Raw genomic sequence first — 24,779 nt, 5'->3', positions numbered from 1 at the left:
GCTCTCGCCCTCAGGGGCCCATCATGAGTCACCTCATTAGGGTAACGGTAAACCATCAGGTGTGGTCTTCCAGGAGCCAGGACAAAGGCACAAAGGCCAGATCTCTCTGGGGAGAGGGAGCGTGTGAATTGCTTAGTACACAGCTCCTGACTTTAGCCTCCTGCCCCTCAGGCTGGTGCTTCCCCAGCTCTGACTACACATTCTGCTTTGTGAGTGATTTTACGAGTCTCACCTGGCCTGGAACTGGCAATGGGGAAATTGCTGAGGCAGGTGGCTGGCTCCAGGGCCTGGCTTGAAGATGGGCAGGAAGGCACTTACACTGCCCTCTCATGAGCCCCCCGGTACCCCCTTACAGCCCCAGACCCCAGTGATGTTCAGGCTTTTGGAGCAAGCCCTGTTGCTTTCTGCAACCTCTGTGGGTGGACTCGGACTCCTGACTGGTCACTTGCGGAAGAGAAGACCAGCGGCTCCTCTCCCTCTCGCAGGAGACTGAAGGCTGCCACCTCTGAGACCTCCTACCCTTTGGCTCCCCTTCTGGGAACCATGTGAAAGTGGCTGTCATGAGCCACATCCTGTCCAGCTGAAGTCCTGCTTGATGTTGGCAGAGGATGTGGTCGTTCAGAGCTGGGAGGACAGACCAGACACCAAGCAAGACCAAGAACTCTCCACTATTTCTGACTCTGGATGAGCGGGGTGCAGGGTCTTGAGGAGTAACTGGGGAACGGGACTGCAGAGACTACAATTCCCTCAGGGAATGTGGCTGTGGGATGAGAGTAGGGACACAGCTGAAGAGGTTCATGGGGTTGAAGGAGTTTCTTGTTTTTGTTTGTTTTCAACACGTAAAAGTCTTGAGCCCATTTAAAAGGCCATGGAGCTAGGCGCGGTGGCTCAGGCCTGCAATCCCAGCACTTTGGGGGGCTGAGGTGGGCGGGTCACATAAGGTCAGGAGTTCGAGGCCAGCATGGTGAAACCCTGTCTCTACTAAAAATACAAAAATTAGCTGGGCGTGTTGGCAGGTGCCTGTAATCTCAGCTACTTGGGAGGCTGAGGTGTGAGAATCGCTTGAACCTGGGAGGCAAAGGTTGCAGTGAGCCGAGATGGCACCACTGCACTCCAGCCTGGGCAACAGAATGAGACCCCGTCTCAAAAAAAAAAAAAAAAAAGAAAAGAAAAGAAAAGAAAAGGCTATGGAGAAGGATTAGTGGAGCAATGGATGTTGACCACAGAAGAGAGACAGTGGTCCTAAGCGCTTGGGAAGGGTGGGCTCTGAGACTCAGGTGGAGGCAAGCAGGGGATGGGTCTTTTGTTTTTAAACTGGAGGTGCTCTTCCCACGAGTCCTTCCACGTGCTCTTTGAATTAAAAGGCAAGGTCATCTGATGAAAAGAGGGGAGATGTCAGAGTCAGAGGTTTGAGAAGTGCAGAGGTCTCAAATGTGCCCAGGAAACATGGAATTAGACCCAAGTCCACACGATAATTCAGTACGTAATAAATCTGCCACTTCCACTGGTGTTGGCGTAACTGGAATACCATCTGCCTAGAGGAAAAATTATATTAATATCTTTTTTTTTTGAGACAGGGTCTCACTCTGTCACCCAGGCTGGAGTGCAGTGGTGTGATCATGGCTCACTGCTCCCAGGTTCAGGTGATACTCCTGTCAGTCTCCTGAGTAGCTAGGACCACAGGCACACACCACCACTCCTGGCTAATATTTTTAGACTATTATTTGTAGAAATGGGGTGTCACTATGTTGCTCAGGCTGATCTTGTGCTCCTGGAATCAAGTGATCATCCTGCCTTGGCCTCCAAAAGTGCTGAGATTACAGGCATGAGCCACCACGCCCAGCAATACCTCATGTCTTATATTAAAATACATTTCAGGTGGATCAAATATGTTAATGTAAAAAGTGAAATATGACAGTACTAGAAGAAAATATGGAAAATTTATTTTATAACTTAAAGTTGGAAAGAGCTTTTTAAATTTAATTTTTATTTATTTATTTTTTCCAAGACAGAGTCTTGCTCTGTTGCCCAGAGCTGGAGTGCAATGGCGCGATCTCGGCTCACTGCAACCTCCGCCCCCCAGGATCAAGCAATTCTCCTGCCTCAGCCTCCCTAGTAGCTGGGATTACAGGCATGCGCCACCAGGCCCGGCTGATTTTTGTATTTTTAGTAGAGACGGGGTTTCATCATGCTGGCCAGGCTGGTCTCAAACTCCTGACCTCGTGACCCACCCGCCTCGGCCTCCCAAATTGCTGGGATTACGGGTGTGAGCCACCACGTCCAGTCTTGTTTTTAATTTTTAAATTTTCAGTGCTTTTTGGGTAGGAGAGGACTTTCTAAGAATAACGACATAGTACCTAGAAGCCATTAAGGAAAAGATGGAAAATTTACATTAAAATATCACTGTATCACAGAAAAATTATGAACAAAGTCAAAAGATAGATGACAAATGGAAAAATATTTTCAGTGCATATCAGATAAATGTCTTTAATGAACCCCTTCAACAAATAAGTAAAAGTCAATCCCATTTTAGTAGGTGTCGCAATGGAAAAAAAGACAAAGACAAAGACAAATAAGCCAATAGAAAAATAGGCAAAGGATATGAACCAACCGCGAAGCAGGCTCACCGTGCGCGGCTTACCAACTTGTCGGCATCTGGTGAGACGGAACACACTCACATGTACCCAGTTACACGATGAGGATTTATTACAGATTGGCAGCAAGGGGCAACAGAGGCCTAGGATTCATTCAGAGCCAGTTCCCCAGGCTCAGGCCAGCTGCCCAGGGCTGATGGAATCTTGACTTCATGCGTCCCACCTGCACCATGGCTGAAGAACCCTGAAAAGCAGCCTGCCCTGAGCTTTATGCTCTGTGAGTGGCTGAGCTACAGTGTTGAAGGACACCCTGTTTCTTTTCTTTTTTTTTTTTTTGAGACAGAGTCTCGCTCTTGTTGCCCAGGCTGGAGTACAGTGGTGCGATCTTGGCTCACCGCAACCTCCACCTCCCGGGTTTAAGCAATTCTTCTGCCTCAGCCTCCCGAGTAGCTGGGATTACAGGTGCCTGCCACCATGCCTGGCTAATTTTTTGTATTTTTGGTAGAGACGGGGTTTCACCATGTTGGCCAGGCTAGTCTTGAACTCCTGACCTCAGGTGATCTGCCTGCCTTGGCCTCCCAAAGTGCTGGGATTACAGGCATGAGCCACCCTGTTTCTAAGGCGGAACTGGAACAGAGCCTGAGCAGTTCTGGCCAGCTCCCCCTTATCTCAAGATGTTGCATTTCTAGCACATTCTACAGTTAATTTTCAGAACTACAAGCAAGAAAGATGGGAGAACCGGGCTGGTTTAAGGTCACCTAGAAAATTGTCCTGTACAAATCTTTCTCAGGAAAGGAAATATGAATGATTCAAACACATGAAAAGATGTTAATGTCACTCAGAGTAGGAGAAATGCAAATTAAAACAACACTATGTGCATTTTCTTACCTGTTAGATTGGTGATGATCACCAGGTTTGCTGACACATTTCATGTACCTGCTGTTTGGGACAATTGCCAGGGAGGGTGAGTTGGGAATAGCTAGTTATCTGTTATGGACTGAGTTGCATCCCCTCAAAATTCACACGCTGAAGTCCTAACCTCCAGTACCTCAGAATGTGACTGTATTTGGAGACAGGGTCTTTAAAGAGGGAATTAAGTTAAAATGAGATTGTTAGGGTGGGGCCCTAATCCAATATGACAGATGTCTTTATAAGAAGAGGAAATTTGGACACATACACCCATAGAGTGAAACTAACTCTGCCAACATCTTAATCTCAGACTTCAGCCTCAGACTGTGAGGAAATAAATTTTCCGTTGTTTAAGCCACCCAGTCTGTGGTTCTCTGTTATGGCAGCCCTAGCAAACTAATACACCAGCAACCTTGAAACTGACCTGAAAATTTGACTTCTAGTAACTTATACTACAGATAGACTGGCATGTGTTCCTGGCATGTGCAGGATATGCGAGGGTATTGTTTGTAGCAGTCAGGGTTCAATCAAGAAAACAGAAGCCACTCTAGGTATTTTGAGCAGAAAGAGAAGCATTGGAAGGGCTGGGAGAGGAAAGGCCAGGAAAGTTCTAGAAGTTAGGAGATGGCAGGGAAGTCATCACCAGTGATCCTCGGTGCTGGCAGGGCCAAAGCACATGATGCCCAGGGGGACACCTGGAGCTGCCGGAAGCTGTCACCAAGGATCTCAGGCTGGTCTCGAACTCCTGACCTCAAGTGATCCGCCAGCCTTGGCCTCCCAAAGTGCTGGGATTACAGGTGTGAGCCACTGTGTCTGGCTGGATCTCAGCTGCTTATAGCACTGCAGTGGGGGTCATGCAGGGTGATGCCCAGAAGCCGAGGAAAGGAGTCTGCCATGAGTTTTGCTGCCTAACCATAGTAGCTGCTGGAGACCAATGGCTTCTGCTTCCTTCATGGGCAGAATTCAGCCTAGGACATACTGGAAAGGGGCTCTGGAAATGCAGGGAGATGTAGAAGGGGATGGGAGTGATGTTACATTAACAAGGACTGATCTAGCACCGTCCATCCACAGAGGCTGGTTAAATACACCATGGTTTGTTCAGACGGAACACCAAGCAGCTTCAAATGGAATGCAGAAACTCCGCATTTTCTGCCCGGTGACCCTCAGCAGTGTGGGTGGCCAAATGGGTGGCCCACAGACTCTGAGAAGGCCCGGAAAGGTTGTGAGGACAGAGCCCTGACCGAGGGACAAAGCAGTCCCTGTCAACCTGGATAACAGCCTCAGCCCTCCTAGTCCCCAGAGTGAGAGGAGCGGGGCCAAGAAACAAGCACTTTTAGCAACACCAAGGGCTTCAAAAGTTCTGTCTGGAGCAAGAACAGGAGCCAGCCTGGGACTGGGGTCTCCGTAGGCCACTGCTTTTCCTCCAGCGCCAGTGAGGTGAGGCTGGCACTCAGGCTGGTCAAGGAATGCAGAGGAAGACAAGTCCCCCATTCATCCCCTGAAAAGGGGGCTGCACCTGGCGCAGGAGTGTGTCCAGGCTGCTGGGGTGCTGGGGCCCTGCCCTCTCCTTCACCCCCAGATTTCAGTCCAGATGACCCTTTATGAGCTCATGCTCTTTGTCTGCTACTTTTTTTTTTTTTTTTTTTTTTTGAGACAAGGTCTTGCTCTATTGCTCAGGCTGGAGTGTAGTGGCACGATCATAGCTCACTGTAACCTTGAACTCCTGGGCTCAAGCGATCCTTCTGCCTCAACCTGCTGAGTAGCTAGGGCTACAAGGGTGCACCACCGCGTTGGCTGATTTTTGAATTTTTTGTAGAGATGGAGTCTCACGATGTTGCCCAGGCTTGTCTGGAACTCCTGGGCTCAAGGGAGCTTCCCAAAGTGCTGGGATTACAGGGTGAGCCACTGCACCCAACTGCCTGCTACTTCTTGTTTTATGGAGGTCCTTTTGGTTTCTCTTTTTTCCTTTTTGAGACAGGGTCTTGCTCTGTCATCCAGGCTGGAGTGTAGTGGTGCAAACATGGCTCACTACAGCCTCGACTTCCTGGGCTCAAGCGATCCTCCTGCCTCAGCTTCCCTGATAGCTGGAACCACAGGTGTGCACCACCACGCAGGGCTCATCTTTTAAATTTTTTGTAGAGATGGGTCTCCCAGGCTGGTCTTGAACTCCCAGGTTCAAACAATCCTCCCACCTGGGCCTCCCAAAGTGTTGGGATTACAGGTGTGAGCCATTGTGCCCAGCTACTTCTTGTTTTTTAATTTTAAAACACATAGGTCGAAATTGTTTTGTTTGTGTGTGACTTTAGACACACATTGTTCAATCTAGCACACCTACCATTCTGAGTTACCTGGCTCCTCCTAGCTTTTCTGTTTAAGTTGGCTTATCTTTTCCTGGCTATCTCATTCCTTTACCTTTATTATTTCACTTCTGTATCTTTTTTTTTTTTTTTTTTTTTGAGACAGAGTCTCTCTCTGTCGCCCAGGCTGGAGTGCACTGGCGCGATCTCGGCTCACTGCAAGCTCCGCATCCCGGGTTCACGCCATTCTCCTGCCTCAGTCTCCCGAGTAGCTGGGACTACAGGCGCCCGGACCGCGCCCAGCTAATTTTTTTTTGTATTTTTTTTAGTAGAGACGTGGTTTCACCATGTTAGCCAGGATGGTCTCGATCTCCTGACCTCGTGATCCACCCGCCTCGGCCTCCCAAAGTGCTGGGATTACAGGTGTGAGCCACCGCGCCCGGCCCACTTTCGTATCTTTTTTTCCTTGAATTTTGCACGTCCTTTGGCAATTTCAACCCTTGGGTATTTTAGCTGAATTACGGTTTATCCTTTTAATTTTTGTGCATCTGGTTTCCTCTGTGTCAAATTACTTACTTCGGTGGAGGATCCTGGGGTGGAGGGAACACGAAGCTTCTCCCTCTGACTCCGCTGCAAGGTCCCCAACCCCAACATCAGAGGGAAGGGCCTGACCCCACAGGTCTTGGGGGACAGCCACAGTTAGCCCTACCATGCAGCACGTGCCCTAAGGGAGCCTTCTGGTCCACAGCTGGTCAGCAATGCCCCTGAGTTACTCAGGGGGAACCTAGATGGTCCTAGAAGGGTCAGAGGCACCAGTGGTGGGTGAGCAACAGTAACCTGTGTGCAGAGTCAATGACACTGACGAGAAGGTAGTGGGTGAGGTTCAGCCGTGGAGGGAATCACCCAGGAGACAAACCCAATGGGTATTATCACCCAGGATAATTTGAGAAGAGAAGGCCGGATCTGCCCCTGACAGGGAGACCACTGATCAATAGTGAAGCAGGATAGTTCCTTGAGCCCTTCTCAGGACTTTGGACAGGGGTGCCTAGTTTACTTAGCCCACTGCTCTCAACTGCTGGTGGGAGGGAGCACACAGCAAACGAGGCGGGAACTGGAGCGCAGGAGTGCTGGAACCAGCCAGCTGTTTCAGTGCGGGCGGGATCAGACTCCACTCTCTCAGATCCACCGCATTCCGACCCTCGTGAAAGGGAGCACACAGTTGAGCAGGTGCAGGAGCTGGAGCGAGCGCTTTTGGGCGCCGGCAGCAGTGAACTTCGTTCAGGCCCCACAACAGCGTCCAGGCAGGGTGCCTGCGACTCCCGGGGCCCCGGAGGCCATGTTAGAGTGCTCTTTTAGCTCTGCTGTCCACGGACGGCTTAAGTGTTAACAGCTCTCAGTGGGCCCATGGCTGCCCTCTGCTAGCGAGGGCGAAGGGCCAGTGTGACAGCCTTTCGTATCCACACTTGTGGCTCCTAAGCTCTTGTCCGGCATCCAGGAAAAATGAGGTCACACGAACGAATTGAAGGATAGTAAATGTGGGAGATTTTATTGCCAATGAAAATGGCTCGGTTTGGGCACCGTGGCTCACACCTGTAATCCCAGCACGTTGGGAGGCTGAGGCGGGCGGATCACGAGGTCAAGAGATGGAGACCATCCTGGCCAACATGGTGAAACCCCATCTCCACTAAAAATACAAAAATTAGCTGGGTGTGGTGGCGCGTGCCTGTAGTCCCCGCTACTCGGGAGGCTGAGGCAGGAGAATTGCTTGAACCTGGGAGGCAGAGGTTGCAGTGAGCCGAAAATACAAAAATTAGCTGGGCCTGGAGGGCATGTGTCACTGCACTCCAGCCTGGGCGACAGAGTGAAACTCCTTCTCAAAAAAAAAAAAAAAAAAAAAAAAAAGGCTTTCAGTGGGAAGGGGAGCTGTTAAGGGGGATGTGGGGTAGGTAATCTTCCCCTGAAGTCCGGCCATCTTTGGCAGATTCTTTTTTTTTTTTTTTTTCCCGCCTCATGTCCCTGTCAGTAGGATTTAGGAACAAATGAGGAGCCAAATACCTGAAAGCTATGAGACCAGGATAGCAAGGCGGCTTCTGGCTACAATGCAGTTTGTGGGATTCAGGGGTAATTTAACTGTGCTCTATTTGCTGGCTTTGGGATCAGTGTTATATTAATTTCATACAATGAATTGGAGAGCTTGTCATTTTTTGCCATGGCAAAAATGGGCTCATAGGCTAGAACTAGTTGTTTCTTGGGAGTTTGAAAGACCTTACTGCCTGAAAGAACTTACTGCCCAAATGGTCTCCAGAGACTCTGGGAAGGTGACTGATAACTCTTTCCAATTGTTCCTGGATTATGAGAGCATATGGGTTTTCTTTATTTTTAGAGACAGGGTCTGGCTCTGTCGCACAGGCTGGAGTGCAGTGCGATGGTCACAGCTCACTGCAGCTTTGAATTCCTGGGCTCAAGTGAGCCTCCTACCTTAGCCTCCCTAATAGATGGGAGTACAGGTGTGTGCCACACCTGGCTTCCTTTCTTTTTGACTCTATTCCTTTTGTTTATTTGAACCATACTTTTCTTTTTTTTTTGAGACAGAATCTCACTATGTCACCAAGGCTGGAGTACAGTGGCACAATCTCGGCTCACTGCAACCTCTGCCTCCCGGGTTTAAGCAATTCTCCTGCCTCAGCCTCCCAGGTAGCTGAGACTACAGGTGCATGCTACAATGCCTGGCCAATATTTGTATTTTTAGTAGAGATGGGGTTTTTCCATGTTGCTCAGGCCACATACTTTTCAACAAGATTTAAAATCTACTCATGGCAGGGTGTGGTACCACATGCCTGTAGTCCTAGCTACCCAGGAGGCTGAGGCAAGAGGATCGCTTGAGCCCAGGAGGTCAAGGCTACAGTGTGCTATGATCGCTCCACTGCCCTCCAGCCTGGTTCGACAGAGCAGGACTCTGTAAAAAAAAAAAATTAATTTTAAGAATAAAAAATTAAAAATCTATTCATATATGAATTATAATTCTTATACTTTTACACTTTAAACTGCATTTAATTAACTTGCTAATTACACTTGTCTTTCATTAAATTTGGCATAGGTTTAGCTATTTTAATGCTTTTTTAAAAAAATAACCGACAATTTATCTACTCCTTTCAAATTCATTAAATTTGACTCATCTCTCTTATGTCTTTATTATTTCTTTTTTCTGGTTTTGTTTTACTCTGCTTTAAAGTTCTTTTCTGGGCTGGTCGTGGTGGCTCACACCTGTAATCCCAGCACTTTGGGAGTCCGAGGCGGGCAGATCACCTGAGGTCAGGAGTTCAAGACCAGCCCGGCCAACATGGCGAAACCCTGTCTCTACTAAAAATACAAAAATTAGCTGGGTGTGGTGGCAGGTGCCTGTAATCCCAGCTACTCAGGAGGCTGAGACAGGGGAATCACTTGAACCCAGGAGGCGGAGGACGTTGCAGTGAGCCAAGATCACACCACTGCACTCCAGCTTGGGTGACAGAGCAAGACTCCGTCTCAAAAAAAAATAAATAAATAAAGTTCTTTTCTGGCCCAGCGTGCTGGCTCGTGCCTGTAGTCTCAGCACTTTGGGAGGCTGAGGTGGACAGATGAATTGAGCTCAGGAGACTGAGACCAGCCTGGGCAACATCGCAAAACCCTATCTCTACCGAAAATATAAAAATTAGCTAGGCCTGGAGGGCGTGCCTATAGTCCCAGCCACTGGGGAGGCTGAGGTGGGAGGAGCTCTTCAGCCTGGAAGGCAGAGGTTGCAGTGAGCCAAGATGGTGCCACTGCACTCCAGCCTGGGCAATGGAGTGAGACCCTGTTTCAAAAAAATAAATAAATAAAAATAAAATTCTTCTCGTGCAATGTTGAGTTGAAACATTAGTTCACTTGTTTTTATTTTTATTTTTACAATAATGAATGCATTTATAGTTGTTAAATTGGGCAATGTTCAGCAGCTACAGCCTTAAGCCCAAGGCCTGACACGTAACACCCCTTGAAGTCAAAATGAGGTAAACTGACATTATTCCCTTAAATATAATTATGTGGTCTTCCCGATTTCAAAACAATGAACCATTATAGTTTTTACTTTCTCTTTGACTCAACAGTTATTTAAGAAACAGGCTAGGATTTTTGTCATTGTTCTTGTTTGGTTTAATTTTGTGGGTAATTTCTGATTTACCGTATATTGTGGACATAGAGTTTGGCCTGTTTAATTTCTGCCTTGGGGGATAGTTGATGTTGTCTTTCCTTCTAATACACATACATGGTAAAGGTTTCATATGCAAAAAGAAGATACAAGCTGTGTGTGGTACAGAATTTGATACAGATCTTTGATTCAAACTACTCATGGTATTGTTTGGGTCTTTGATGTCTTTGGTTTATTTTCATTTTTATTTTTTTTGAGAGAGTCTTGCTCTGTTGTCCAGGCCAGGCTGGAGTGCAGTGGTGGAATCTAGGCTCACTGCAACCTCTGCCTCCCGGGTTCAAGAGATTCTTCTGCCTTAGCCTCCCAAGGAGCTGGGATTACAGGTGCATGCCACCACACCCGGATAACTTTTGTATTTTCAGTAGAGATGGGGTTTCACCACGTTGGTCAGGTTTGTCTTGAACTCCTGGCCTTAAGTGATCCACCCACTTGGCTTCCCAAAGTGCTGGGATTACAGGCGTGAGCCACCCTGTCTGGCCTGATGTCTCTGATTTTGGTAAGTTAAATCTCTTCTAGGTTGTTAAATAGTATGTTAAAGACTCACTATATTTGTGTTTCTGGCAATATCTCTTTGTACTGCCAACATTTTTCTTTTTTTCTGAGTGTTTAGGTTTTTTCTTTTTAACACAACATCCATTTATTTTGCCACAGTCCCACAGGTCAGGAGACCAGTACAGCATGGCTAGGTTCTCTGTCCAGCTGCATCCCTCCCCTGGAATTTAGGGTCCTCTTCCAAGCTCATTTCTATTACTGGCAGAATTCAGTATGAAGTTCCCATTTCCTTGCTGGCTGCCAGCCAGGGGCTGCTGTTAGCTTCTAGAATTTGCTATCATTCCTTGCCACCTTGTCCCTCAGTCTTCAGGTCAACAATGGCATGTGAATTCTGCTTCTAGTCTGACTTCTCCTTCTGCCACCAGTGGGAGAAAGCTCTCTGCTTTTAAGGTCTCATGGGATTAGATGAGGCTCACCCAGAATATTTCCCTATTTTAAGGCTAATTGTGCCATGTAACCTAAGCTAATTACAGAGGTGACATCTCATCATGTGCACAGACGGGTTCCAGGGAGCCAGGCAGGACATCTCTGGGGTGCTGGATTTACTGTGCTGCACACTAGAGAAGGTACATTTTTATCAGACACCCTCTATTTTCTTTTTCTTTTTTTTTTTTTTTTTTTGTTTTTGAGATGGAGTCTCACTCTGTGGCCCAGGCTGGAGTGCAGTGGCGTGATGCCGGCTCACTGCAACCTCTACCTCCCGGATTCAAGCAATTCTCATGCCTCAGCCTCCCGAGTAACTGGGATTACAGGGATGTGCCACCATGCTGGGCTCATTTTTTCTATTTTTAGTAGAGACAGGGTTTCACCAAGTTGGCCAGGTTGGTCTTGAATTCCTGACCTCAAGTGGTCCACCCACCTCGGCCTCCCAAAATGCTGCGATTATAGGCATGAGCCACCGCGCCCAGACCCACCTCTATTTTCTAAGTGCTAAACAACATGGCTCCAAAGCATAACTGAAAAGCAGGTTAGTTGCTCATCGCATGCAGAGTCCAATGAACAAGCGCGAGGTCTGGTGTAAGAAAAGTGAATGTATTCCAAAGGTAGCTTGGGGAAGGGACACAACGCGTCCTGCCTTTACATGTGCTGCTTCACCTTTGGAGCAGTAACATGGACACTTTTATAAGGTCGGGGGTGAGCAAGTATGCAAGGCAGGCGTTCCCCTGTTGCCCCGTATCTTATCTACTGGATAATTGAGTTGGTGCCTTCCCAGGCAGAAATAACTTGTAAAAGTGGCCAAGCGGGAATGCTTTCGACATACCCTCCTGGAGGATGAAGGTCACTTCCAGTTTGCAGAGCAGAAGTTCTAAGGTCACCCCATGGAGGTAAAAGTTCCGTGGCAGGTACGCTTCAGTCTGGAAATCAACTGTCAGCAAATCGACTGTCAGCTCTCAAGGAAAAGATCTGTCTTGGAGCCGTTGAAGAAATTGCCCTGAAGGGAATTACCCTGAAGGGAATGTCTAGGGGGAGGTGAACGGTTACATTTGCATTTCTGAAGGGCTGAGTAGGAAACGGGAAGGAGGGAAAGGGGAGAGAATAGAAAATAATAATTAAAAAAAAAGTAATTCATTCCGTTTTTCTTAGAAAAAATGGGAGCATTTGGTTACAAAAATACATAAAATCTAGCAAGAAACATTCGACTAGGTCTGCGGGAGCTGAGCTATCTGAGCTGAGCCTGGCCTCCCCATCAGCGCTTAGCAAATTGCAGGTGGTCTTAACAAATTGCAGGCAGTCATGGTGGACAGGCAGCTGTTTCCAGACTTGCCTCCATCCTCCAGACCCTAGCACGTGTCTGAGTGGTGGCTAACATGCAGCTTTTGCAGTCAGGCCACCTGAGAGCAATCTCAACCTGCCCCTTTCCAGCTAGGCAGCTCCAGTATGGGGAGTGGCTGTTTTATATTTCTGTCCTGCATCAGCCCCTGAGGCAGGCATCCCTGTACTTTCACTTCTGTGAGCCCACACATCTCCTTGCTGGTCGCAACCAGTTCGAGCAGACTTTCTTTTTTCCTTTTCTTTCCTTCTTTTTATTATTATTATTTTTTTTGAGACAGGGTCTCATTCTGTCACCCAGGCTGGAGTGCATGGGCACTGTAACCTCAACCTCCCAGGATCCTCCCATCTCAGCTCCCCTCCGCAACCCTCAGTGGCTGGGACTACAGGTGCTCATGCCACCATGCCTGGCTGATTTTTGTACTTTTTTGTAGAGGTGGTGTTTCACCATGTTGCCAGGCTGGTCTCAAACTCCTGAGCTCAAGCGATCTGCCCATCTAGGCCTCTTAAAGTGCTGGGGTTACAGGTGCGAGCCACCAAGCCCAACTGAGCAGAATCTCATGTCACTTGAAACCAAACATATCCTTACCATCGTTGGCTTTATATATTAAGATTTTATGAAAAAATGATTATTGTGTCATTTGTCTATGAGATCAGATACTAAACAATTAGAACAGCAAACTGTATCCTGCTATCCAAGGCCTTAGTTCTGACCTCACCAGGCCTCTGAGGGTGGGCCCCCAGTAGGGATTTTTGAGGTCCTGAAGGGGCTGCACTCACCTCCCTGGCCGGTGAAACAAGATCATTTCTCCTTCCCTGGTAGAGGCCCCTAAGGTGGCCCTGAGGGTCTCGAAGCCCCCTCACTCCCTCCGAGGCTGTCGGGATCTCGCACATTTCTCCTAAGCCTCAGGCCTGAGCTTGGTGGAAAGGCTCACGGAGGAAAGTCTTCCTTACACAGATGAGCCAGAGAAAGGAACGAGCAGCCCCTGGAATCTCAGTGCCAGGAAGCAGTTCCTGTTAACAGCTTGGTGTGGCGCTTTCCAGCTTAAATCCGCATAAAAAAGATGCCTTGGGGTACAAGTAATGGAGTTCCAGATTTCACACAACCTGCTCAAATCGTGCAGTCTCCCATCCACCTCAGCGTCACGATGCCCCCGGCGGTCAGTTGGGGGCGCTCCCTGCCCTCTTCTGGGATTGCCAGGGCGGGGACTCACCCAGCCCTCCAGCCCGGCCAGCCCCTTGCTCCTCGCGGGGCCCCGCCCCGACCCGCGGCCCTGCAGCCGGCACTGGGAGGTCTACGCCGCCTTACCCCACGCCTCGCGCAGCTCCGCGGGCTGGTCTCGAGGGGAGATGCCCTCGCTCGGGGCGCGCACCGGGTGGCGCCGAGATGCCCACCTCCTCCGCAGGCCCCCGGGATCCATCGGATGCCACCCCCACCACACACACAGGGCTCCCCCACCCTCGACAGCCGAACGCGTTGTCCCCTGCACAGCCCAGGCGGGTTCCGCGAGGGGCTCTGGGTCGCACCGCGCCCCGGGACGCCCGCGCCCACCCAGCAGCTCCTGGCTGCCCGGCGACGAGGAGCCGCGGGGGGCAGGCGGAGCCCGAGGGGGGCAGCTTCGCCATGGGTGAGGGCAGGGATTCCACGCATTCCTGTGGGATTCGGCCGCACCGAGGAAAAACAAAGCCAAGGTGATTTGTGATAGGTCACAGGCTGCACGGCAGGGTCAGTCAATCCCAGCCCAGGCCGGTAGTTCCCAACTTGAGTCACCTGGGAGCGATAAAAAATGCCTGGGCTCGCGCCCCACCCACTCACTCATTCGGATTCATTCTGTCTGGTTGCGATCTGGACTAGATATTTTCTCAAATTCCCGGGGGGCAAAACCCTCTAAAAGGATTGAGCTCTAAGCTTTGGCTCACTTTGGAAGGGTCTTCAGTGAGTATACAATGTATTCCAAGATTCAAGTTTTGTTTTAGAAATATAAGCAAAAATTGCATTCTGTTCGATAATGTATCTGTGTTCATTTTCACATAAAGGCAATTGGTAAAAGACAATTTTCAGAAAAAGGTAGATTCATGACCCTTGTTCAGAAATAAAAAATGAGCATGTATTAAAGATTTATTTTACTCATAAAAAGGACAAGGTAGATGTTATATCTGGTTCAAAGGAGACATCAAAAAGCACAAATTTATATGGAGTGAAGGAATTGAATTGCAAACAGCGGCAAACTGGTTTTTCCACCGTGGGGGTGTTGGTGGGGGGTGGAAGAGAAGTCAATGGAAGCTTCACCTGACAAGACAGTTTGCAAAGCCCTCAGTACTTGCAACTTAAAAAGAGGTGCAAAATAGCTCAAAGACCGTGAATGGGGCTGGAAGCAGACAGGTCTGGCTGTGCTTTAGATAATGTATAGTGTTTCACTGGAACAGAAAAGTTTTTCTTCACAATAGCTTAAATAACTCTCTGGAAACATTTATTTCTTACAGCCCTAATAACGCTGGGCTCCCCCAACCATCACAGTTTCAATCGCTCATTGGACATAACATTTTCCTCCTTTTAGACAGAAACAACAAACACAGATATTTGTGACTAAGTTACTGCTAAGGAAAAAGGATGGGAGGCTGGAGGCTCTTGGGAGACAGTAGAGTATGGGGGTTAGGTGTGCAGGGCACAGAGTTCAAATCGTGCCTGTCACACAATAGCCGTGGGATCCTTCTCTTAGAGCCCTCCATTTCTTACTTTGAACATGGTGTATAACAGGATTCCAGAAGCTTCCCCCTGCTCCTTCTCAGTTTAGGTGCACAGAATAAGTCACCTAGGAACAGCTTTCTTTGTTAAGAGTAGGATTCTTTGAGTGGTCTCCTTTAGTTATGTAAATGTGGCTGAGTAGGCACCCATTACCCTGGGGGAAGAGTGGAACTGGACTTTTTGAGGACTGACAAAGGCTACCCCTTTTCAAGGCCCCTTGGAATGCACAGCCAGTTGCCGGGGAGGAGGGAACCATTTTGCAAAGCCAGGGCCTTTGAGGAGGAAAGAGTTAAGACCCTGGGACCAACTAAAATCTACTGTCTAAAAAGTTGCTTCACCAGGCCAGAGAGAACCTGAGTCTGTGGGATTCCCCCACAGACTGTGTAGCTGACTGGGGGGCCACAGGACCCAGCACCCCTGGCATGCTGCTGCTCTCTGGGGAAAGGTCGTTGAGCTTGTGAGGGTGACTGAGAGAAGGGTAACTTTGTTTTGGAAGCATAGGCCCCACCGCAGCCTGTGCAGTGAAGGTAGCCAAGCCTCAGAAGCCACAGGACTGTGCAGGCCCGCTGTTCCACAGCGCCCCTGTGTGGAGAGAGAGGGAACAACTGGAGATGACTGCTCAGACTTTCCAGAGAACCCTCTCTTTGGAGGAGGGAAATCCCTGAGGTTCTTGGACAATTTGAGAGTGGGTTCCAAGAGGCTGATATTGGATTTTTCTGCCAATAATGGTACATGAGGGATTTGAGCAATCAATGAGAAAAATTAAAAAGTAACCATATTTGTACCCTGAGTTAAAGTCATATTGACTACACGTTAAATGTTTACCAGGGTGCCTGGCATATGAAATGTGCTCCATAAAATGTCAGTTGTTATCATTACCAGGAAGCAAAACTAAATGCCTGATTTTCCAGAGTGGGGCCCCACTGGAGCTGGCCAGAATGGGCCAAAGTGCGCCAGAGGGAGGGGTGGAGGTGCCTCAAAACTGCCCTCTGCTCCCTCAGGCTGCCGTGAACCCCTGCTCTTTGTCCCTTTGTGCTCAGGATAAAGTTAAAGTACTCCTGAACCTAGAAGACCTGAGAAACTGCCCTGCCTGCCTCCCAGCCTCCCACCCCTTCTCTCACCCCAGGTCCAGCCCCGAGAGGAGCTCCTTTCCGCTTCAGAATGCATCCACCCTGCTCCCAGCAGCCCTTGGTATATGTGGTTCCCTCTGCCTCATCCTTCAGGGGCAGCTGAACCCATAACCGTCTCTGGGCCTCCACCTGGGCCTGGGTCCTGTGGCCTGTACACCTCCATTTTCTGGGTGTCCCTGGGCTGCCCTCTCCCATGCTGAACTGTGAGCCCCAATCCCCTCTCTGCAGCCCAGAGCAGGACCTGGCTTCTGAGGATGAGGAGGGGCAAATAGGGCTGGCATCACAGTCGCAGGCCTCCCTCAGAAGCTCCCAGCACTTGGTTTAATGCTCAATGCTCTGCTGTGGCAATCTTAAATTCTTTTTTTTTTTTTTTTTTTTTTTGAGACAGTGTCTCGCTCTGTCACCCAGGCTGGAGTGCAGTGATGCGATCACAGCTCACTGCAGCCTCGACCTCCTGGGCTCAAGGGATCCTCCCACCTCAGCATCCCGAGGCAATCTCTGGCAACCTTGGCCCCAGACAGGTGCGTGCCACCACTCTGAGGTAATTTTAAAATTTTTTAAGAAAAAAATTAGCCAGGCGTGGTGGTGGGTGCCTGTAGTCCCAGCTACTCGGGAGGCTGAGGCAGCAGAATGGCGCGAACCTGGGAAGCAGAGCTTGCAGTGAGCTGAGATCGCACCACTGCACTCCAGCCTGGGCGACAGAATGAGACCTCTGTCTCAAAAAAAAAAAATTTTTTTTTTTGTAGAGACAGGGGTCTCTCTATGTTGCCCAGGCTGGTCCCAAATTCCTGGGCTCAAGCCATCCTCCCACCTCAGCCTCCCAAAGTGTTGGGATTACAGGCGTGAGCCTGACCTTTAAAATTCTTAATACCTTTTTAAAACCAGGGTCCTGTAATTTCATTTTGCACTGGGCTCTGCAAATTATGCAGCCGGCTGGCCAAGAGAGAACTGTGGGAAGACCTGTGCTGAGGAGGGAGAAATAGCAGTGTAGCAGGATGAGTCGCAGACAAAACTCCTCAGACACCAGATTAAAGAAGGAAGAGGTTTTTATTCGGCCGGGAGCGTCAGCAGACTCGCGTCTTAAGAGCCGAGCTCCCCGAGAAAGAAACTCCTAGCCCTTTTAAGAGCTTACAACTCTAAGGGGTCCACGTGAAAGGGTCATAATAGATCAAGTAAGCGTGAGGAACGTGACTGGGGGCTACACACATCAGCTAACAGGACAAAAAGTTTTACGGTGCTTTCTCACACAATGTCTGGAATTTACGGATAACACCAGTCGTTTTGGTCAGGGGTTAATATTATTATTATCATTCTAACCACCAGGGCCAGGTGGTGGCGCCAAGGTCGTCTAGCTATTTATCTTACTTCTGTTTCTTTCCAGCTTTTTGCTTTCTCCCTTTTCTCCCGTCTTATAAACTAGGGAAAAGGGGAGGTTGGGGAGAAGCTGGGAAGGACAACAGGAGAAGTGGTGGTCTCATTCCCTATTTCCCCCCTTTGAGAATTTTCACTTTTTAGTGGGAGTTCTCACTCTCATCCTCACTTTTTGAGTCTCTTTGCGAGATAGAGCGATAGTGATTCATATAATTCACGTGTGCTGAAGTTTTCTGATGAACCAAAGTAGCAACAATACCTTTTATCATTTGAAAAAGCAAGGGTAATACACAGGGGAGCAGCAAGCAAGTTCTTATTACTAGCAATACACCTACAATGAGGGTTTTAAATCCTCCTATAGCTGGAAACCATTTTCCAAATAAAGACTCAGGATCAAACTTGTGCCAAACCTGTATAGGCGTGTGTGCCAACTTTGTCATGTCCCTGACTATGTTTTCAATCACCTGTCCTTGATCATCTATTTGTAGGCAGCAATTGGTTAAGTTAAATTTTCCACAAACTCCTCCTTCAGCTGCCAGCAAGTAGTCCAAGGCCAGTCTATTCTGATAGATAGCATTCCTCATTTGGGTTTCCTGCCGAGCTAAAACAGTCAAAGCTCTGCCAGTTTCATTAGTAATTATTTCTAAGACGGTCTGCAACCGTATGATCTGATTGAGCATGTAGATGGGGGTTTGGTATCCCCATGAGCCGTCTTGTACCCATGTGGCAGGCCCATAATATTGTATGATCCTTTCAGGGGGCCACTCATTATCTTTCCAGTTTCCTATAACTATGCCTCTCTTTTCTCGGGAGGTATAGACACGGAAACCTAGGAGCTCACCCGTTTTTATGGGTAATAAGAAAAAGGACAGCTTAATAGTGCCAATAACACAACTGCCTGCCCATTTATTAGGTAACTGAATGTAGGCTGTGTGCCCACATATCCGGTATAGTCCGGTGGGAGCCGTCCAGTCCTGATGAGATTCTGGATGAGCCCAGGCAGTTTTTAATTTAGAAAATTTACTAAATGGGTTCTTTTCAGTGTGGTTTAGGCCCCACCAAGTAATTGTCTTTGTTGTGCTGTTGTACAACTTCTGTCCTATACAATTAAGCTTTTCTACAGGGACGATAAAGTCTTTCCCTTCTCTAGCTATACAGTATTGTCCAATAATTAGGATTTTAGGACCCAGAAGTTGCTAGCTTGGGCCTTCTGAACTGGAATTATATCAGGAGCTGGATCAGTAGGCACCAACTCTCGGGCTTCCCAAGGCCATCGGTCTCCGATAGTGGTTCCCCTGCATACATAACAGGAAGTAACATTAAGGGAAAGAGCTACATTTTCTGCTAATTGGAGAAACAAATTTTTTGTCTTTTTCGGAAGTTCTGGTGCTGGCAGATTCAGCTCCTCATAAAAGGTTTGAAACACTGGTTTGGGAGAGTGCTTGTGGACCTCCCCTCTAACTAAAATGGCAACTTGGGGGTTTATCCCTGTCCCATCGATCCCCAGGGTTACACGTTCTCCCTTTTTCCAACGGGGATCTAGGGGATTGGTAATTATTAGTTCTAGTGGGTTACAGTGACCGGCAGCACAGGAGGGGTTGGCGTCCCCCTTCTGAAGATGAACCAGGTCCTTTTTGTTCTTTTTCCAAGTAGCCCAAATAACACATGGCCAAAAGGCACAATTTTCACAAACCCCTGACTCATGACAAACATATTTATTTTCTACTCTGTAGCTCCTTTCCCAGTTAAGAGAACCACATCCTGTTCCTAGCTTGTTACTATTAATGGCTGCATAAGCATCAAATCTTAAAGTTACTTGTTTGGGGATTCCTTTTTCTTCTGTTCTAGTTATTATTTTACTTGTATCACCTGGGAAAAGGCCAGTTCTTAATCTTCTGTCAAAAACAGTGGTTACAGGGGGCTCAGATGGGTTATAACACACATCAGGTTGGTCATTTCCCGGGCTACATACCTTGTACTGAGTTGCATTATACAATCAAGTTTCTTTTAACGTGCCCATACATTCATAATAACTATAGAACAGAAAGATTGTTTTAATTTGCTGTCCTACGTCAGTGACCTGGTGAATACACTGGGAACAGTCCCCACTTTGAGTAAGGTCAGTTGAAGCCCTTACTGTGTAAGTCCAAAATGTAAGAAAAATGAATCCCACGATGAGCTTCCTCATGCTTTGGCCGTGCGTGGACCAGTCAGCTTCCGGGCGTGACTGGAGCAGGGCTTGTCGTTTTCTTCAGGGTCACTCTGCAAGGGTCCTCTGGGCTTGGTCTTACCTCTGAGGTTTCAGGCACTGCAGGTTTTACACGGCTGTGGTGGATCCAGGCTGGGACTCCTTCTACCTTCACAGCGGTGGGAGTGGTCAGGATGACAGTCTGGGGTCCTTTCCACCGTGGGCACAAAGAGGCTACGTTCCAGTCCTTGGGGAGAAAGGGTGAACTGGGGAGAATAAGCTAACAGGGCATCTCTCATTTACCCAGGCTGAGATTGTTTGTGTAATTTTTCCTAAAGCCTGTAGCTGTCGCTGTAACTCAATTTCACCTAACTCTCGGGGAGTGCCTGGAAGTCCCCGCAATATGGGAGGGGGCCTATAATATTTCATAAGGGGAATATCCTGTTCTTTTAGAAGGGGTACATCTAATTTTAAATAATACCATAGGGAGAGCCTGTATCCATTTTAATCCTGTTTCCTGACATACTTTCCCTTAACTATTTTTGATAGTCCAATTCATCTGCTCTACCTTTCCGGAACTCTGAGTCAGCACGGGAATTCCCCAAGCCCACCAAGGTGGAAGCTCGCTGGTGTCCTCTGCAATGCATAACTGCCACCTTGTGGGGTTTCCATACGGCTTCTAATAATTGCAAGATTTCTTGTTGATATTTTATGTCCTTTCCCCCAGAGTTCAATAGGCCCTTTTCTTTATATGATGCTTCATGCACTTGAAGGGTTAAAAAGGGATACCGAGAGTCAGTGTAAATGTTTACAGTCTCACCTTCACTGAGTTCTAAGGCCCGAATGAAAGCAATGAGTTCAGCTTTCTGGGTGAAGTGGCCTGGGGCAACGACCTGGCTTCAACAACAGTGTCCAGGGTTACCACTGCATACCCTGCACCTCTCTCTCCTTGTGGGTTGATGAAGCTGCCCCCATCCATGTATAGTTCCCAGTCTACTGGTGCCCAAGGCTGGTCCTGGAGGTCAGGTCTGCTAGAGTAGACTGAGTCCAACACTTCTACACAGTCATGCTCGACAGGGCCCTCTGATACCAGAAGCAAGGTAGTGGGGTTCAGGGTGTTACAAATTTCAATGGTTATACGGGGATTTTCACAGAGCAAACTTTGGTACTTGGTGAGTCTAGCATTTGTTAGCCAATGATGTCCTTTAGTATTTATTAAAGTCACCATAGCATGGGGGGCCTTTATGTTCAGGTTTTGCCCAAGAGTCAGCTTAACTGCTTCTTGTACTAGCAGGGCAGTTGCTGCCAAGGCCCTCAAACATGGGGGCCATCCTTTAGAAACCCCATCTAGTTGTTTAGAGAGGTAGGCCACTGGCCTCGGCCAGGGCCCCACAGTTTGGGTTAAAACTCTAACTGCCATCTTTTCTCTCTCTGACACATACAATGTAAAAGGCTTTGTCAGATTGGGTAGCCCCAGGGCTGGGGCTGACATAAGTTTTTCCTTTAACTCACGAAAGGCTTGCTGTTGTTGGGATCCCCATTCGAAAGGTTCCCGGTCCCCCTACTTTGTGACCTCATACAAAGGCTTGGCTAATACTGCAAAGTTTGGGATCCACAGTCTGCAAAACCCCGCAGCTCCTAAGAATTTTCTCACCTGCTTTCTGCTCTTAGGCTCCGGTAGAGTGCAAATGACCTGCTTTCTTTCTGATCCCAGGCTGCGCTCCCCCTGTCGGATAGTAAATCCCAAGTAACGTACCTGCGGTCGGCAGATCTGAGCTTTTTTCTTGGACACCTTATACCCACAGTCCTCCAGATGCCGGAGTAGAGCATCCGTTCCCTTGGCGCACCCGACTGCCGTGGGGTGTCCCAGCAAAAGGTCATCAACGTACTGGAGCAACACGCAGCCTAGGTTTCTGGTGGGACACTTCTGGAGGTCTCGAGCCAACTCCTCCCCGAAGATGGTGGGGGAGTTCTTGAACCCTTGAGGAAGCCAGGTCCAAGTGTACTGAGTAGTGACACCTGACTCCGGATCTTCCCACTGAAAGGCAAACAGCTTCTGGCTCTCAGGGGCGAATCTGATGCTAAAGAAAGCATCTTTCAGGTCCAAGCAGGTGAAGCAGCTGTCCTCAGCTGGCAGCAACCCCAGCAATGTGTACGGGTTAGGTACTGCTGGATGTAAAGTCACTGTAGCCTGCTTAACCAAGCGCAAATCCTGTCCCGGCCAGTAGTCCTTGGTCTTAGGCTCGGGAACAGGCAGGAGGGGAGTGTTCCATGGAGACTGACAAGGAACTATCATTCCAAAGGTTCTTAGGCACTTGAGAGGGACCTGAATACCTTCAAGAGCTTCTCTGGGGACCGGGTACTGTTTTTGCCTAACTGGCTGGGCCCCAGGCTTAACTTCTATAAGTATGGGGGCTTGGTTGACTGCCAACCCTGGAGGGTTGTCTTCCGCCCACACTCTTGGCCACCGCTTAGCCAGAGCTGGTCTTATCTCTTGGCCTGACTCAGTTAAGAAAAGTCTCCATTCCTCCTCTCAGGGGACCGTAAGGGTCATAATGACTCCCGTTCCAGGTAACTTTAGCAGCAAAGAGCCATGCTCTGTAAAAGAGATAGTGGCTCTCAGCTTGCAAAGCAAGTCCCTTCCCAACAAGGGCAAGGGACAGTCAGGCATATATAAAAACTGATGAATCACTTTACGTCCTCCTACAGTACAAGTCCGGGGCAAGCAGAAAGCTTGTTTTGCTGAAATTCCCATGGCTCTGATTATGTCAATAGTCTTTTTGGAGAAGGGGGCGACCGGGGCGGTTACTACTGAATGTTCAGCACCAGTATCTACAAGAAAATCAATGTCTTTACCCCCGACTGTCATCCTGGCCATAGGCTCTTTGGGGGCCCTTGAGCCCGGTCCCCCTCAGTCCAATAACTCTTCTGCCAGGTTGAGCAGGGCCCCTTCCTCCTTGTCTGGAACCTCCTGCTCCAAGTCACCTTGTTTTCCTTTTAGCTGGGGGCATTTGTTCTTCCAATATCCTATTTCTTTACAATAAGCACACTGGTTACACTGCAAGCTCTGACAGCCAGGCTGAGTCTCTTTCCCGGGTCCCCCCTTCCCTTGCCTCTTTGAGGAGACCCCTCCGACTGCTGCAGCTAACAGCTCGGCGTTTCGCCGGGCCTGACGTTCATTCTCTCTGCGGTTTTCCTTAGGGCTTACTGCATCCCTGTTTACAAACACCTGGTTAGCTACTTCTAATAACTGTGATGTGTTCGTCCCTGCAAACCCATCCTGTTTCTGCAGTTTTCTTCTAATGTCTTCTGCGCTTTGACTAACTAAAGCCATGTTAACCATTCGCTGATTTTCAGGGCTAACGGGATCAAAGGGAGTATACATACGATAGCCCTCACACAGTCTCTGGTAGAATTGTGCTGGACTTTCTTCTTTTTCCCCGAATGACCTCAGAGACCTTGTTAACGTTTGTGGCCTTCTGGGCTCCCCTCTTTAATCCTTCCAAGACAGCTTCCCTGTCTCGGTTTAGCCTTTGCATATCCTCTCTTTCATTTGGATCCCACTGGGGGTCAGTTCCTGGTAACTGGGTCCTTACACACTCTTGGGGGTTTTGGTAATCAGCCGGTGCATGTTCCTGTACCCACTTAGTTGCTGCTTGGAGCACTCTCTGCCTTTCATCTGTGTTAAAGAGGAACATGAGCAACTGGTGGCAATCAGCTCAAGTGGAGTTATGGGTCTGGATAATAGTTTGGAGCAAATCAATTAGAGCTTGTGGTTTTTCAGTATAGGACAGGGTATTGTTTTTCCAATTGAGAAGGTTGGCAGAGGTGAAGGGCTGGTACACAAAAACACGCTTCTCCACCATGTGACCATCCTCCTCTATCCCAGTATACCGCTGCTCTCTCAGGGGCATTTGTATCCCAGTTTTGGGTCTTAAACAAGCTGCCAAGGGAGGGGTTTCTCCTGAGGCTTCACCTCCTCTCTTGTCTACTCTGGGTGGCCTAGGGATATGTTTGTCTTACGGAGGCACAAGCACTGTGGGCTCAAAAGTAGGGAGCCTCTCTGCCTGGTAAGGGGAGGGCAGCACTGGGATCACTGGTGCCATCTCCTGCAATGGATCTTCTGATGTTGGGTCGAACAGAACTTCAGGAGTTGATTTCCCCCAGTGGGTAGAGCGGGATCCTTCCTTGGCTATCTGTCCCTTTGCTACTAGCACTGCTGCTGCCTGCCCTCTTAGCCACTGTGGGGGGTCTTGCACCAGCTGTAGTAACCAAGTGTCTATGTATGGGAACTGGTCTGAGTGTCCTGACTTACCAGTTACCTTGTGCCATACCTTAGAAATAAGGGACCTGTCCAGGCTTCCTTCTGATGGCCAACCCACTTCTAATGTTGGCCGATCTATTTCACACAAAATTCTGTTTCCCTGGTGTCATAGTAACCCCATAGTCTCCGTTAAATCCCTTCTTAAAATTTTTCAACATAGTTCCTAGCGGAGTAGGCTTACCTTGTGTCTGACCCGTGTTTCCTTGAGACAAAACACCAAGCTCACACCGCACGCACACCACAGAACAAAGAATGGGTAAAAAGGGCACACACACACTTTTTCAGTTTACACCAAACCAGAATCAAAACCAAACCCAGAGTATCCAGAAATCCAAGCCAGGTCAAAACCAAAACCAAAGTATCAAGCAATTCAAGTCAAGTCAAAAACAAAAACCAAAGTGCCGGTACAGGCACACCGTGGGTGATCAGGACATGCTTCCACTCAAATGGAGTGGGCAAGTTCCAAAGACCAGTCTTACCAAGTTTCAGATGTCCGGGCTCCAAGTGCCCGTTCCTTCAGCCACTGTGCTGATCCTCCACGGGGGCCTGCCACACACTGCTCTGACGAGGTGTTCCACCCGTCAAGAGCATTGCCTACCCGGGAGTGCTCTCAGGATCTGCGTAGCTCAAGCTGGCCACAGTCCCCCGCAGGGATGCTCCACAGGGCAGGCCTAAG

General features: G+C 48.6%; 1 long non-coding RNA gene across 1 annotated transcript, besides 8 other annotated features; it reads right to left on the bottom strand.

The window, feature by feature from the left end:
• Positions 5,147–5,647: an enhancer, noted in NCBI's record as "H3K27ac hESC enhancer chr2:232285114-232285614 (GRCh37/hg19 assembly coordinates)". NCBI's record gives its function as "activates a minimal SCP1, AML or CMV promoter by ChIP-STARR-seq in naive H9 embryonic stem cells {active_cell/tissue: H9 hESC(naive)}" and the evidence as "EXISTENCE:reporter gene assay evidence [ECO:0000049][PMID:30033119]".
• Positions 7,109–7,610: an enhancer, noted in NCBI's record as "H3K4me1 hESC enhancer chr2:232283151-232283652 (GRCh37/hg19 assembly coordinates)". NCBI's record gives its function as "activates a minimal SCP1, AML or CMV promoter by ChIP-STARR-seq in primed H9 embryonic stem cells {active_cell/tissue: H9 hESC(primed)}" and the evidence as "EXISTENCE:reporter gene assay evidence [ECO:0000049][PMID:30033119]".
• Positions 10,817–11,576: an enhancer, noted in NCBI's record as "H3K4me1 hESC enhancer chr2:232279185-232279944 (GRCh37/hg19 assembly coordinates)". NCBI's record gives its function as "activates a minimal SCP1, AML or CMV promoter by ChIP-STARR-seq in naive H9 embryonic stem cells {active_cell/tissue: H9 hESC(naive)}" and the evidence as "EXISTENCE:reporter gene assay evidence [ECO:0000049][PMID:30033119]".
• Positions 11,577–12,337: an enhancer, noted in NCBI's record as "NANOG-H3K4me1 hESC enhancer chr2:232278424-232279184 (GRCh37/hg19 assembly coordinates)". NCBI's record gives its function as "activates a minimal SCP1, AML or CMV promoter by ChIP-STARR-seq in primed H9 embryonic stem cells {active_cell/tissue: H9 hESC(primed)}" and the evidence as "EXISTENCE:reporter gene assay evidence [ECO:0000049][PMID:30033119]".
• On the bottom strand, positions 11,586–13,754 carry LOC124907997 (uncharacterized). The gene is made up of 2 exons (XR_007088118.1): positions 13,125–13,754; positions 11,586–12,074 (listed from the first exon to the last, which is right to left on the bottom strand). It is a non-coding gene; the product is annotated as an uncharacterized LOC124907997 (long non-coding RNA).
• Positions 13,548–13,887: a silencer, noted in NCBI's record as "silent region_12426". NCBI's record gives its function as "represses an Ori minimal core promoter by ATAC-STARR-seq in GM12878 lymphoblastoid cells {active_cell/tissue: GM12878}" and the evidence as "EXISTENCE:reporter gene assay evidence [ECO:0000049][PMID:35858748]".
• Positions 14,432–15,036: an enhancer, noted in NCBI's record as "OCT4-NANOG-H3K27ac hESC enhancer chr2:232275725-232276329 (GRCh37/hg19 assembly coordinates)". NCBI's record gives its function as "activates a minimal SCP1, AML or CMV promoter by ChIP-STARR-seq in naive and primed H9 embryonic stem cells {active_cell/tissue: H9 hESC(naive and primed)}" and the evidence as "EXISTENCE:reporter gene assay evidence [ECO:0000049][PMID:30033119]".
• Positions 15,037–15,642: an enhancer, noted in NCBI's record as "OCT4-NANOG-H3K27ac hESC enhancer chr2:232275119-232275724 (GRCh37/hg19 assembly coordinates)". NCBI's record gives its function as "activates a minimal SCP1, AML or CMV promoter by ChIP-STARR-seq in naive and primed H9 embryonic stem cells {active_cell/tissue: H9 hESC(naive and primed)}" and the evidence as "EXISTENCE:reporter gene assay evidence [ECO:0000049][PMID:30033119]".
• Positions 24,208–24,753: an enhancer, noted in NCBI's record as "H3K4me1 hESC enhancer chr2:232266008-232266553 (GRCh37/hg19 assembly coordinates)". NCBI's record gives its function as "activates a minimal SCP1, AML or CMV promoter by ChIP-STARR-seq in naive H9 embryonic stem cells {active_cell/tissue: H9 hESC(naive)}" and the evidence as "EXISTENCE:reporter gene assay evidence [ECO:0000049][PMID:30033119]".

This window comes from Homo sapiens, chromosome 2 (assembly GCF_000001405.40).
Source record: "Homo sapiens chromosome 2, GRCh38.p14 Primary Assembly".
In the NCBI taxonomy this organism is placed as follows: Eukaryota; Metazoa; Chordata; class Mammalia; order Primates; family Hominidae; genus Homo; species Homo sapiens.
The sequence above is the reverse complement of the archived record's forward strand: the minus strand, read 5'-3'. Positions and strand labels throughout refer to the sequence as shown.